The sequence below is a fragment of the Homo sapiens genome, chromosome 3 (genome assembly GCF_000001405.40).
Source record: "Homo sapiens chromosome 3, GRCh38.p14 Primary Assembly".
In the NCBI taxonomy this organism is placed as follows: Eukaryota; Metazoa; Chordata; class Mammalia; order Primates; family Hominidae; genus Homo; species Homo sapiens.
The window spans coordinates 34,263,369-34,278,366 of record NC_000003.12 but is presented as its reverse complement, the minus strand read 5'-3'; the positions used below and the strand labels follow the sequence as shown (position 1 = coordinate 34,278,366).

Below are 14,998 nucleotides of genomic sequence, written 5' to 3'. Positions count from 1 at the left end.
AATGGAGTATCCATCACCTCAAGCATTTATCATTTCTTTGTGTTCAAACATTCCAATTATACCCTGTTATTTTTAAATGTACAATAAATTACTGTTGACTGTAATAACCCTGTAGTGCTATTAAATACTAGCTCTTATTCATTTTATCTAATTATATTTTTGTATCCAGTCACTATCCCCCCTCCTCACTACCCTTCCCAGCCCCTGGTAAAAATCATTCTACTCTCTATCTTCATGAGTTCAATTGTTTCAATTTTTAGCTCCCACAAATGAGTGAGAACATGCAAAGTTTGTACTTCTGTGCCTGACTTATTTCATGTATCAGAATGTTCTCCAGTTGTGAAATGGATAATCTTGATCACTCCCCTGTACTCTTGCCTACAAGAGGCCATAATTGGATTCAATACGAATCAGCAGGAAAGGGATGGCATGGAGGAACTTCATTCTTCTTTTAAAGTAACAACTCCTGAAGAGTTACTAGGGGTGGAAGCAAAGATTTAAAGTTTTCTACCTGTTCTAAGTACACTGAAAGTGATAGATTAATATAATACTGGACCTGTATACTATGACAAACACTACTACTCAAAAGCACAGCATCCTCATAAGATGAAGTTTTCAATTCTTGTTTTACAACTGGGAAAACTTGGGCCCAGAACAAGGATTCAAAAGAGATCTGAAGAGTTTGAAGCCCAGTACTTAAACACTAGATTATAGGGAAATAGTTACTTGGCTCATCATCTCTCCTTTAGAGAAAGCCAGGTATGATCAGAGAGCATTTCCTAACCCGGAGCATCGGTGGTCTGGGTGCAGGGGATTAACCGCATTCAGAGAGGAAAAGATGAAGCAAGAGCCATGAGTAAGCCCAGGTGCTGCTGAGAAAAGTTCTTTCCCCATGTCCCAGCTTTGAGCTCCATGAGAGAGGTCACCTAGCACAGACAGAGGAGCTGGTGGCAAAAACAATGCTGTTTTTCACCCACTCCTCTTCTTTTCTTCTCAGAAATGCAGCTAGACATTTCCAGGCATACCCTGCAGCTAGGTGGAGACATGTGATTGAGTTCTGTGTGGGCAGAATTTATATAAACCACCTCTAGGTGGGATCCATAAGGCCACCTTCACAATCCTCTACACACCTTCTCTCTTTGTCTCCAAGCCAGAGGATCCAGTGGAGATCTGAGGATAGAAGAATCCTGTGTTCCTGAATGACTGCATGGAGCAGTACGTTACCATCCTGGCACCTGCACCGGACTATGACATGAATGAGGATAAACCTATACTTTGTTAAGCCAGGGATATTTGAGAGTTGTATATTATAGCACCTAGCACACCCAAATGCAGACCTTCACTCTTTATAATTTCACCACTTAGACAGGGGTTTTGGCCTCTTTAGCCTTTCTTTTCACCCCTCTGATGAGCCCTTGTTGTCTTTCCATTGCTCATTAGCACTCCTACCACAGCCTGTGCTGAGAAAATTAAAGAAGATGAAATTTAAATCAGTCAATTTTTTCCTTGTTAGCAGCTCTGGTCCTAAGAGAAAACAAAGAAAAAAATATTAAAAATTCAATGGAATCAGAGAGGAGGTTGAAATTGTTGCTGAAGATGAGGCTTGAAAATTATCTGTAGATTTCAGTTTTCTGTTTCTCTTCCCTTAATTAATCAACAGCTGATTATGTTACCAGGTAGCACAGTGTGAGGGTCACTGCTTTCTGAACATTTGTCTATGCTCCTTCTGGGCAGTCTGAGTCTTCATCCCCCATGAAACCTCTCCAAGATGAATGTTGACAGCCACCAATCATGGGAAGATGTCTCCACATGTCACTTCTGCCTCAGCTTCAAAGCAAAGTATCATATGATGCCATCAATGACAGAGTGCTAGAAATCATACTCAGTCATTTTGCATAGAAGTAAACCAGAAACCCAGAGAGGAAAATTGATTTTCTCACAGTCATACAGCAATGTCTAAGACCAGGTCTCCTGCTTCCCAAGTTAAATGTTGAAAATATAATTTCAACTGTTTATTCAAAATGTTTAATTTCAAATTTTGAAAATAAAATTTCAAAACCTGTGGAAAAGATGAGAAAATAAATTTACTGTGTATTAAATGGCAAACAAAGAATACACTAAAATATCAGAGAAGGTCTGGAAAAGGGCCAGGCATCTCTGCAAATAGCATTGTTCAGATATCCGGGAAGGAAGGAAGGAAGGAAGAAAGGAAGGAAGGAAGGAAGGAAGGAAAGGAGGGAGGGAGGGAGGGAGGGAGGAAGGAAAGGAGGGAGGGAGGGAGGGAGGAAAAAGAAGGGCAAGAACATTCTGTTTCCCAAAACAGCTACCCCCTGTAAAGTCCCGGCCCCTGTGTTGGCTCCCCTGTGGCCTTCAGCAGCAGTACCATGAGAATGTCCTCCTCCTGTGGACTTTGTGCTGAATCTAGAGCATGAGAGCAGGGCCAGGTTATGCTGTGTGGGTTTGACTGTCCCCAGTGTTATTATCCACATGGAAATTGGCATCAAGTGCATCTTGAGCCAGAAATGACACTCCAGAAGCAGCATCTACAGGATACATATGGACGGAGGACCCCACACTTCACTCTAAAGTGGGGAGTTTAAATTATTTAAATTTAAATTTAATCATTTAAATAAAATCCACCCTAAAGACAGCCCTGATTAGGAATCATATCTGAGGGTGCCAATGGGTTCAATTTAACTGACCAAATCTAAGAGTCAAATCCACTAATATTTAGAACCTTTTGCCCAGGACCAGATAATATCACTCAACTCTATCCCACTCATCTTCACATCCAAAAGTGCTAGGCATAAATATTGGAATACTGAGGAAATGACACTCCCAGGCCTCCTTTTACTCCTAGGTTCCATTTTTTTTTTCCAAGAGAAATGTCACTTATCCAGTTTTTAGAAAAGAGTAGGGAAGGAGGATGACTCTTAGTATGGGGCTAAACTAAACAAATTCTGCCTCCTTCAGGGTCCCTTTAGTATCTCCCTGAATCACCAAAATTCTCATTCGCCATCTAGATTCCCAAAGACCCTGGATTCATTTTAGATGGATGGTGCAGATCAAGAGACTTTATGAAGGGACCACTTACAGAGGTGTGGGAAAGGCTAAAGAAATCAACAAGAAGTGTTGTAACATTCAGAGACTAGCAAAGCAGAACACCACTACAAACCCCTAGGGCTGTCAAGGCGAGAGATGAAAATTGTGTTACTGGAGCTCAGTGAGAGCTGGGTTGGGGAAGGGCCACACAATAGGAGGTATGGCCATGGAGTGCACAGCTACATCCAGATGCTTGAGAGCGGAGGCAAGAAGAAGGCAGAAAAAAATAATCTGGCCTTTCCCTCCTCCTGTTCTCCAGGACAGGGTTTACCCATTGTCCCCACCTAACTGGAAGCCAAAGGGCATGGGAGCCCACTAAGACAGTTTATGTAGATCAGCATCCCAGGGCAGAGAGCAATACAGAGAAGAGGGGACAATGTGGGAGGGTAAAAAGAACCATCTGAGATCCCTACCTCTTTGTGCCTCCCAGGCTCATTGCTTCCCTTTCCAAAGTCTTCCAGATCCAAAATTACCTGTTTCTACTTCTCCAATTTAAAACTCACTTTCCCCTTAAAGTGGAGGACCCCAGCTATCTTGAAGAAGAAAGTAACTAATTCAGGCTAAGATACGAGAATGCTTTGTTGCATATTTCAAATACAATTCTGTTTACCATGTTTTCAAAAACTGTAAATGGAAACCATGGTGCTTTACTGCCATTACTTCAACCTCCAATTCTCGTTATAGACACCAATAATCAATTACAGTTTCCTCTCATACTGAGTCTGAATACAGTATCAGAATCCTTCCCAACACAGTACTCCAAGCAGTCACTACTAATTGACTGCAGTGTGTATTTGAGTTTTTAAGTTTAGACCTACTGGACTTCCTTGCTATAAATAATTGATAGAATTTTAGGTCCGCTGCAGTAAATAATTTAAGATTTTGAATGAGACTTATTTTTTGGATGTACAACTGCTTGAAAAGAGAAGCCCAGTTTCCTAGGACTCCTTGGACAATGACGAATGGGTCATCAGATGAAATTCATGGAGGACATCTTGTTAAGTGTCCTCCTCCCACCATCAGCATTTAATCTTAGAAATGCTTCCTTCACTCACAGCCGCTTATGTCCTCTTTTCCCTCCCTAAACTGGTCTCCTCCTCTCCTCAGGGATTGGACTACAGAAAACTGTGAGGCTTTGATCCAAAATCTCTACATTCCTTTGCCGTTGTCCAAGAAAGCCATCTTCACAACCAGCCTTGCTCTGAGAGATCTAAGTGCCGCTATCTTAGCATCCCCCACTCCTAACAGGACATGAGCAAATAACAAGATGGATAAAACCTCAGGACCAGAGACTGCTTAGCCTCTCCCCAAACTCAGATCTTCCTCCTAGGCCCATGGGTAGAGTTTATCCCCAGCATCTCCTGTCCTGGCATATGACTGAGTGATACCCAACAGAATAGGAGTCGAAGATGTATCCCACACAAAATCATCCAAAGCATAACTCTTTTTCTCACTTTCACAGTCATCTTGGCAGAAGTGTTGAAGACAGCAGAGCCAAGAGAGGAAAGGAAACTGGGCCCCTGAATTGTTACTTAAAGGAGAGTAACCCACCAATGAGGATCATCCATTTGGACTTCACACTTATGAAAAATAATCTTCTGTCTTATTAAGCCTGAGACTAGATGAATCTATCTGTTATCACCACTAATGTATCTTAACTAAAACACACGACCTTCTCAGATACATACATGTCAACCAATTGAATTCTGGCCCTGTATACTCTAATTTCATTATATGCTGACTGGGAAGCACAGTCCACTTATCAGAAATTAAATATTTGAGTAGTTTTAGAGGGGCTTTGCTTTCTGCCATAATTCTTAGGTATCAGACAGCCAACCCAACTGAAAATACACAGATTTTTAAGAGAAGAAAACCCTTTATCCTTGGGATTTTTGTTGCTGTGGCCATTTTGTAAAACGTCCTAATGTTGGTTTCCTCTTCCTTCAGGAAGAGCCTCATTGGTGGGTACCAGTGGCAGGAACGGCAGTAGGCGGAGAAGCAGAATCCATCCTCATCAATTTCAATTTGCATGACCTGGAGGCTCCATCCTCAACTCCCAGAGGGGTGTGTAACCAAGGCCTATGCACTAGACACACTAAGTGCTTCAGTAGGGAAGCTATAAGCTAAGCTGGTTCAATCAGATTGAATCTCAAGACTTGTTGGAAATGCTAAGAGAAACCGTTCCATTTTTCCAACTGGACTGGACCTTAGGATGATGTGGTCCATGGGCCTCTGTACAGAAGTTAAGAACTGAATCAACCCAGATGAAGCAGCACAAAAGAGTGGTCCTGGTAACATTAGTTACTCTAACCCCTGAATCAAGATGAACCTGAAGACTGTGCAGTTATATGCATCAGAACTTCCTTTCTTTGTATCACCAGTTGAAGTTGGGAGTTTTGCTGCCTGCAGCACTGCAACAGAATGACGCTAGCTGACTCAGGTGCCTTCTCCTCTTGACGAACAACCATCCTTTACTCAGCAAGAAGGATGAAGCTGAATGGCTCTTATTCTAATTAGGGTAGCTGAGCAATCTTTAAATTTGACACCTGGAATCTGCATTTGTTATTGTTGCAGAAACATCATAATATTGGGCTTCAGAAGGCAATTGCTTCTTTATTATAACTGCAATTGACAATGGAGAGGAATTGATTTACAGCAAAGAAATGGACAAATATCATGGGTCTACTCTCTGTCCTGTGTTGAGAGATTTACCTTAACATAATCCTCACAAAATTCTAGACAGGCAGTTATTATTATCCCCACTACATGGATAAGCAAACCAAGTTGATGACAGATCCTCCAGCTAAAGTATTCATTTTATAAATGAATAGATACTATCAGAGACTCAATACTCAGAGTGGAAGGAGAACTGAATAGAAATCACTAAAACAGATTTAATTCCAGCTCTGCTATTTTTATTGTTTCAACACTAAAGTGGTCACAGGAGCACTGCCCTGCTACCTCACGTGGCTCTTTGGAAAACTGAGTATTCTGATGGTACCAACATGGCAGAGCCAGGATATGGGCACCACACATATGGGCTCCTTCACCCCCATTGCTAGTGAGACACTATTTTGAAAACAGCTTTACAAATACTGGCAAAGGAGGATAAAGTAGGCCCTATCTCCTCCCTCAGCCTATGCCTTACCATAGGGCACACATGTACAAGTGGTTCCCACCTCCCGACTTGTCTGTCCTTTTGTACAGAGAAATTGCAATGGTGCAGGAAGGCCAGATCTCCATGGGCTTGAAATCTCTCCTCAGAGTACTTCACAGATTTGTTTTCAGCCATTTTTCTCAAAGAGTGTAGAATCCAGTGGGAGCCATGCAATAAGCAAATAGTTATACAAAAAAAGTGATGATTGCCATGGCCTGGTTGGGTGTCTATCTAGGAGACCTGATATGATTGGGTAGAGTTGAGAAAACGTTAGCCACCCTTAGATTAGTGGTAGCTTATGACTTATCACACTGGGGAAGAAGAGAGTGGATAGTGGATAGCAGATACAGTACCTGAGTCAATACCCAGTCCCTTTTAAAATAGGACTTTCAAGTTCCTATCAAGGCAATTGTCATATTGACAGGAGACACATTTTCTATATTTCTTGACCCCAAGGGCTGGGAGCTGAATTTTGCCACAAGCCAAAGGAAAGAGAATAATTCAGGATATAATAAATCCCTGCCACATGAGAAGTACCAACCTTTCTGGTTTTATGCCGAGCGCGAAGAGAAAGAGATGGAGAAGAAAACAGTCAAAAATATGTGCCCTGGCTTCCCTCCAGCCTGACATCCCAGAAAGTTTGTGCATGGTAATAATCTTCTAGTTGGAGACCATCAGGCTAGCATCTTCCTAGATCATAGTTTGAGCAGGGAGTCCTCCACTCAGCATGTCACAAAGTCCAACATGGCAAGAGAGTGATGGTGTAACGTGGATGGAGGGAGTTATCTAAATACATGGCATGAGGTAGCAGCTTTGACTCTTTGAGGTTGGTGTGCAGTAAGCAGGGGACACAAAAACTTTGTGTGTCCCGATGAGAGGATATGGAGGTACCAAGAACACTTGTAGACCAATTGAGCTTGGTAAAAACAAATGGTTATGGAGAACCAGTACTTTGCAATAAGACTTCAGCTTCAGGGAACGGCATGCACCCTGAAAAGTCAGATGAGGTCACCCATAACCAAGTAGACATCTCCCAGTAGCTCAAGAATTAGCCTGATTATCCCAGTTTCGTGGCAAAGGCCAGGAAGAACCCAGGAAAAGTACAACGCATTGGAGGGTCTCTTTTCCAACACTATGAGGACATGTAAACTACACCCCCCTCAAAATACCTAAATACCATCTTTGGAAAGACAAAGAGAAAGGGGGACGTTAATAGGAGCTGGCCTATTCCTAGAAAACACTGAGTTACCTCAATAATATAGTTTAAACAGAGACTGACAAGGATCTCTGACAAGTGTATTTTGCATCTCTAGCAATGGATAGGGAGAGGGGACAAGGGTGCATGATTAGCATGAGGTCAGTTACAGAATAATGAAGATGATGCACCCCCTGCATATTTGAATAGAACTGTGTGCATGCACTAACCCATGACCAATGTCATCATACCCTTCCTTCCCAGTATCACAGAGGTCTCGTTGATTCTTTTCATTGTGTTCTAATTTCACACGTTCTACCATAGTCAGCTGTTATTATTTCATGTACCTCAAGTCACTTTCTTATATTCTTTTTTTGTTTGAGGAAAACGCTTGAAGTAATTATGTTCAAATTAGCTACATGGGTGGTAAATATTTTGAGCCCTTGATTTCTCAAAAATATCTTTAACTGAAAGTTTGGATGGAGACACATTCATGAGATTTGTCATTTTATTCCAACAAAAAAAGATATTTCTTTACTCTTGCCAGTGAACAGTCTGATGTCAAGCTGATTCTTACTGCATCACAGGTAACCTGCTTCATATTTACAGAAACTTTTGGGACATTCTTTTTATTCTAAGAATGTTCCACTTAGCAACTATTTTGCTTCTAAGTGTGGATCTCTTTGTTCAGCATCCTGCTCAGTGTGATTTAGGGCATTACACACAATACTGTCTTACTTCACTTCTGGGGAACTTGCCTCTATTTGCCTTTTTTTTCTCCTCACTCCATTATCTCTGTCCTCTTTCTGAAACTCTTAATGGATGAATGTTAAACTCCTCATTCCTCATTTGTCTGTACACTTTTTTTTTACTTTCCTAATAGTGAAAACTGGATATGACCTATACTTTTAACAATAAGGGATCGATTAAATCCATCATTACACATTTGTTGGTGAGACATGCAGTAGTTTTCAAAATGATGATTTATAAAATGAAATCTACGTGGATACACAATTTAAACAACAAAAGATAGTAAATCACAAAATAAACAGCATCAGGAAAAAGAAAATTGTAATCTCAGACTAGGAAAGGACTTTCTGAATATAATAAAAATCCAGACCATTAAGGATAAATTGGTTAATTTGAACACATGAAGTTTTATATTTGTTTCACTTTTTGAAGGTTAAAACATATAAAAGTATACATTAAAAATGTACACAACTGTACACATTGCTGAATTTTTACAAAGCAAACCACCCACATAGCGAGCTCTTGAAGAAAGAGAATGTCACCAACACAGAAGGACCCTCATGCTGCTTCCTGTCACCACCACCCCAAGGGTATCTTTTGACTTTCTTGGCTTTTAATGCCATAGGTTAGTGCTGCCTGTTTTTGAACTTTATGTACATGAAATAACACAGCATGTGCTCTTTGTAGCTGGCTTCTTAAGTTCCCTAACTTCATGCTCATGAGATTCATCCATGTTGTTGTGTATAGTTCTAATATGCTTATTCTCATTGCTGTATAATAGTCCACACATAAATACATTCAAATTTATGTCCATTCTACTGTTGATAAGATGCTCTCTTTAGCTTTTGTTTTTCATTATGGGAGATGTCCTTGATTTATTTGCCAACTTTGGTCTTTAACCTTGGCTTTTCCATTTCTTTGTTAGTTCTATGATATCTTTTTTCCATTGTATAAACACATTTTTAGTTTCTAGGGATTCCTTTTTTCACTAATGCTTGTTCTTTTTTTCTTTTCTTGTACTTTGTAAAAATAGAAACAATATCCACCTGTTTCTAAGGATATTAGAACTTTTAAGTTCTTTTATTATTTCTCAATGATTTCTGTTTTTTCAGAAGATGGCTCTGGTTTTATTGTTGTTGTTTGTTTGTTTTACAGAGTGATCTCATTTAGCTATCACAGCTCACTGCACCGTCAACATCTCAGGCTCAAAGGATCCTCCCACCTCAGCCTCCTGAGTAGTTGGGTCTACAGGTGCACAACACCATGCCCAGCTAATTAATTTTTAAATTTTATGTAGACACGAGGTCTCACTATATTGTCCAGGTTAGTCTCGAACTCCTATGCTCAAGCGATCCTCCCGCCTCAGCCTCCCAAAGTGCTGGGATTACAGGCAAGAGCCACCACGCCCAGCTGTTTTTTTAATCTTGATCTTTCTCTTTTGTGTTCTTGGTTTTCCTTAAACGTCTGGTGATTCTTGGTTGAGAGTTCATATTCATAAGAGCTAAATTTCCTTTGCATTCAGACAGTTCTGTTTCCTCAGCAGGCTTCCCTGTAATTGGGACAACTGAAGGCAGGCTTCTCGTGGGGGCAGGGCGGGGGGAATGTGGATGGAGATGGTTGCTGGTGACAAGCAGCCTTCCCTGTGGGGTGCATGTGTAGGGAGCTGTCTGCAGGCTGAGTCTTCATGTAAAGAGAGCTTGGATTTCATAACAGAATGCTTTCCTGGGTGAAATTGCTTCTTGGTGTCCTTGTTTCTCTCTTTCTAATGTTAATTCTGCTGAGTTCATTTCTGATCTGCTCAGCTTTTCTTCAGATCCCCCAAACTGCAGAAGGATACCTTCCTAGAAAGATCATACACATTTTCTTTAGACATTAGTTCCTGGATTTTGTTCTGCTCCTACCCTGACTCATATGCTCTGTGCATAAGGAAACATGAGATAAAGAGGGACACTCCCAGGAGACTCAGCTGTTCTAATTTCAGTGTTTTAAAAGCCAAGAACCCTGGTGATCACCCTACAGCCAGCAGTGTTTATTGGTTGGCTTTGACCTCAGAGCTTCTTCTGCTCCCTTATCCCTGGTGTTTCAGGCTGAAATTTCTCCCATTCCGTCAACTCTGTTAAACTGATCATACCTGTCTTTTATCATCCAGGATTTTCTTAAACTTACTCTTTTACTATTGGCTTCTGTCTTTGTCTTCCAGCACTATTGTGTTTAAATTATTGTTTTAAAAATCTCCCCTTGTCCTTTTAGGGGGCTTTTGGGAGACAGGAAAACTAGCTGTATCAGTCTGCCCTCTTAAATCTGAAACCAACTCTGCATTTTTATAGGTCACTCCAGTGGAGGTGAGTAGACTAAGTTGGAGAGGGACAAGAACAGCTTCAAGAAGGCATGATTATAATAATTCGGGCATGATAAGTCAGGTCCTTAGGTTAGAATGAGGGCAGTACAAATTTAGAAGAGTGGAAAGATTTAATAAAAATTATGGGAGTGAAATCAACAGGATTTGGTGAGGGATTACACATGGGAATTGAGAGTAAAGCTTCAAAATGACCCCTGAAGTCTGGAGAACCAGCAGAGAGAGACACAACATTAACTGAGAGGCACTTAATAGGGAATGTAGTAGTTACTGTTGCAGCTGTCACTTTATTATGAAGAGGTGACATTTTAATATATCAAAACATTCCTGATTATAACTTAAATATTCCATAAACTGAAAGGTACAAAATATTCAAGTTGAACCCAGTAGAACAGCTTTTGCATTTCCAGAGTCATCCTTGCTGATGAGATGCAACCAGGACTCACTAGAGATTTTACCAGTCAGGCTCAGAAAATAGGCAGCAATAAATGCCAGAAGGCTTAGACTTTGAATTGTGTCTTGGGCTACTAGACTGTTTAGACTACATCTCCTGAACAAGTTTTATGGTAACTTGTGTAAATTTTGAGAAATGGAACATCTTGGGTAAAAGTTTAATCTTTTTATTTCCTCTGGTGTACTCCAATATAATTAACTTCATGTCAATAAATGCTATACTTTTATAGCATACAAAATCTGGACTGTTATATTTTGATGCTCTTGGCACTCCATATGGAGGCGGTCTTCAAAGAAGATGCTAACATCTGATTTCAAGTGGGAAGGAAGAAATTAATAGTATATTTCCAGAAGCAAGAAAAAGTGAAAACTGAACTCAGAAGAGGTAGTCTCCAAGCCTGGAAGTCTTGGCCTCATCACCACATGCTCCATATCCCCCCTTCCTTGAATGCCTACCAGCTCCTTAGCTGCTGTGTGATCACAGCAGACTGAATGGTGACCTGAGGAAGAGTGATTCTACAGCAGCAAATGCCTTATGAAAGAAATGCTGAGCACACAAGGGCTATTTATAGAAAAATACTGGGGTTTATTTGCAGTATCTTGGTTGTAACAACACAAAATCGTATTGCAGAATAAGCCAAATCAAAAGACTGGACACATTTTGTTTTTGTGTTTGAATCTAGATTTCGAGCATCTAGGATGATTAAAGTACCTATAAAATTCCAGCCATATTATAGCATTGTTAGATCATATTTATGTCCTTTTCTTGGTCAGATTCCTGAGGAAAATGAATTCCAAGAGAGTCAGAGTACCTCAAAGAAGACATAGAAAAGAGATGAGACTTTACTGGCAGGGAAAAAAAAAAAGCATCAAGTGCTTGGTTGGGAGAAAGGAGGGAAGAAGGGAGGATGTTTAATAAATGGAGAAAGAAGTGCTCAAGACCAGGGCTGAGGCCCTGGAAAATGATACCCACCTTTCTCTCAGTACTTTATAAGCTTATAAAGCACTTTCACTGCAATAATTTTATCTTTGTTTTCTGGGACACACAAGAGAGGGTATATTATCTCCATTTTATGGGAAAATAAGACAGAGATTTTAAAGAAACATGCCAAGGGTTTCATAGCTGGCAGTTGAGGGAAGTCCCAGGACTCCAAAATCCCAGCTTTGTGTTCAGTTTTGTGCTATTGAAAGACTGCAGTCCTTCATAATTTTGTACAGGCTACAATCATTCAAGCAGGCCAATCAGCCTTCAGTCTTATTGATGTTATTCTCTGCTAAAGGATAAACCAATGATCTGTTTGGTTCAGTCCATCTAATTGAAAGTTGACTTTGCATAGATGGGGAGGCAGGGAGACAGTAATTTGAACTTCCAGCTAAAATGTTATGCTACATTTAAAATTGCTTTCTAATCACACTGTGTTGATTACCTCAAAGTAATGTCTACAAACTAATGAGACTCAGTGTAACATGAAATTCATAACCATTGATGTGGTAGTCAATGTGTCGTTTGTATATGCACATAATAGAAGGACACCTGGATTACCTTATCACCATCTGCCACACTGCTTTGGTTATGGTGTGTGTGAGAATGTTGATGATGGTGTACAGGTGAGAATGTGTTTGTGTATCTGTATAGATCTGTGTGAGTGTGTGAGGGGTGTTTCAATGTGCTACGAGGAAATCAATTTTGAATGTAGGACTGCCCTTCTCTAAAATGAAAAGGTGATACAAGAAAACAAAATAAGCATATAGCTTTGCTCAAATTCCCTGGAAGCAGAGTCTGACATAGGGATGCAGATGCATGAGATTTATGGAGGGGGTGATCTCAAGATGGGTATGGGAAGGAGCTGAGCAAGGCTGTGGTCTCAGCTGGAGATGAGCTTCAGGCTTATCCTACTAGGAGCTCTGGAGCATTAATTGCCTCAGCGTCCCACCTTGAAGCAAGAGGACAAGCTTTCTTTACCCCCATATCAGTCAGTCACTGGCTGTGGGCTCTGGGAAGTAGGAAGAGGGCATAACATCTTGGGCCAGGCACAGACAGCTCTTGCTTGACTGAGGGCCAATTTTCCGGAGAAGAGGGAGCCATAAGCCAGTAGCAGCCAATACTCACAGCAGGTGAGAAAAGACCCCAGTTCTCCCAAATTCCAGCTCTGTGCTCAGTTTTGTGCTCTTGAAAGACTGCAGTCCTTTTTACTGGGCACTGGCCCAGTAAAGGTGATCTGGCCAGAGCATTAATAGCATCCACTATGTATTGCATTTGTTTTTATTTTTTGAAAAGCAAACTCATCCAGAGAACAGTTTGTGTGTTCTGCATTTTTTGATCAGCAGCTATTACCCCAGGGGTTAGAAACCATTTTGATTATGAACCAGTATCAAGGCTACACAGGTTATATAGTCCACTGGTAGCTTCATGCTTTAGTAAAAATGGTCTGGGACAAAAGCTGGTGAAATCTGAGTATGATCTGTAGTCTAGTTAATTATATTGCGCCAATGTCTATTTCCTGATTTTGATAGTTTTGTAAGATGTTTCCACAGGGAGAAGCTGGGTGATGCAAAGACAGGAAGTCTTTGCACTATTTTTACAACTTCTTGTGAGTCTATAATTATTTCAAAATAAAAAGTTTTTTAAAAGTATAAAATCTTTTGAGTCTCGGTTTCAGCAGCAATGAGCTGAGCAATCCGTTAGAGTTTAGATAGAATACTTTGAGGAGAGCTATCATGATTTACTGGTCTCCATATTTTCTGTTCTGTCACAGGGCCTGGGCCATAAAAAAATATATATTATGAAAGAATAAATCACTCAGTGATTCAATTAATAAGTGAGTGAATAAATAGTTGACCTTCAACAGATTACTTAAGCTCCCTGAGCTTCAGCTTCTATATCTGTCTACGGGGTAATTGCAAGGATCAGATGTATTCACATACAAACAACGCTCTGTGCAATACAAAGTTGTTTTTGGTCAGGCACAGTGGCTCACACTTGTAATCCCAGCACTTCAGGGGGCTGAGGTGGGAGGATCACTTGAGGCCAGGAGTTCAAAACCAGTCTGAGCAACAAGCAAGACTCCGTCTCTATAAAAAATTTTTAAAAATTAGCCATGTGTGGTGGCACACACCTGTAGCCCCAGCTACTCAAGAGGCTAAGGTGAAAGGATCACATAAGCCCAAGAGTTTGAGGCTGCAGTGAGCTGTGATCATGCCACTGCCCTCCAGTCAGGGCAACAGAGTGACACCCTATCTCAAAAATAAATAAATGAATAAATAAGGAATTTGTTCTTTTTTGAGATGGAATCTCGCTCTGTTGCAACCTCTGCCTCCCCAGTTCAAGCGATTCTCCTGCCTCAGCCTCCTGAATAGCTGGGATTACAGACGCGCACTACCATGCCCGGCTGATTTTTGTATTTTTAGTAGAGATGGCGTTTCACCATGTTGGCTAGGCTGGTCTCGAACTCCTGACCTCAAGTGATCCGCCCACCTTGGCCTCCCAAAGTGCTGGGATTATAGGCGTGAGCCACCGTGCCCAGTCAATAAGTTGTTCTTTATATGATCAAAGAACAGGACAGGCTGGCAGGCTTAGAATCACCTGGGAAGAAGCTTAGAAATCCAGACTCTCAGGTCTAATTCAGAATATCTGGGATGAGGCCCCTGAATCTATAGTTTTAATTAGCTTATCCAAGTGACTGGTGATGCAGCCAAGCTTGGGATCTATTTATGGAGAAGAACCTAGTATGCTATTAAACTGCTAAGCTAGAGGGAAGCAAAGGAAAAAGGAGGAGAAAGAGAGAAGGAAAGAACTAGAAGGTGATGAGAGATGAGGTGACAGCTGCCAGCATCCTCTCCAGCCTTCCTGGTACAGATTGCTGCCAGGTCTGTAGCAGGCATGGAATTCACAAAGAGAACTGGTGAAGCAATTTGCAGCCCAGTTGTCTAGGAGCCCAGTAATTAAAGGATGTCGTGGACCCCTTTCACCGACCCCCGAACTTAC

At 41.0% G+C, this 14,998-nt stretch overlaps 1 long non-coding RNA gene across 21 annotated transcripts in view; it reads right to left on the bottom strand.

Moving 5' to 3' along the window:
- The window catches only part of LINC01811 (long intergenic non-protein coding RNA 1811), a 276,733-nt gene that overhangs the window by 157,730 nt on the left and 104,005 nt on the right, over positions 1 to 14,998 (bottom strand). For 5 of the 21 annotated variants that reach the window (NR_183697.1, NR_183698.1, NR_183699.1 and 2 more), the window contains one exon: positions 8,592 to 10,045. The exons of the other annotated variants lie outside the window; for them this stretch is intronic. This is a non-coding gene — a long non-coding RNA (long intergenic non-protein coding RNA 1811). Of the gene's footprint in view, positions 1 to 8,591; positions 10,046 to 14,998 lie in introns of those variants that run through there. 21 annotated transcript variants of the gene reach the window in all.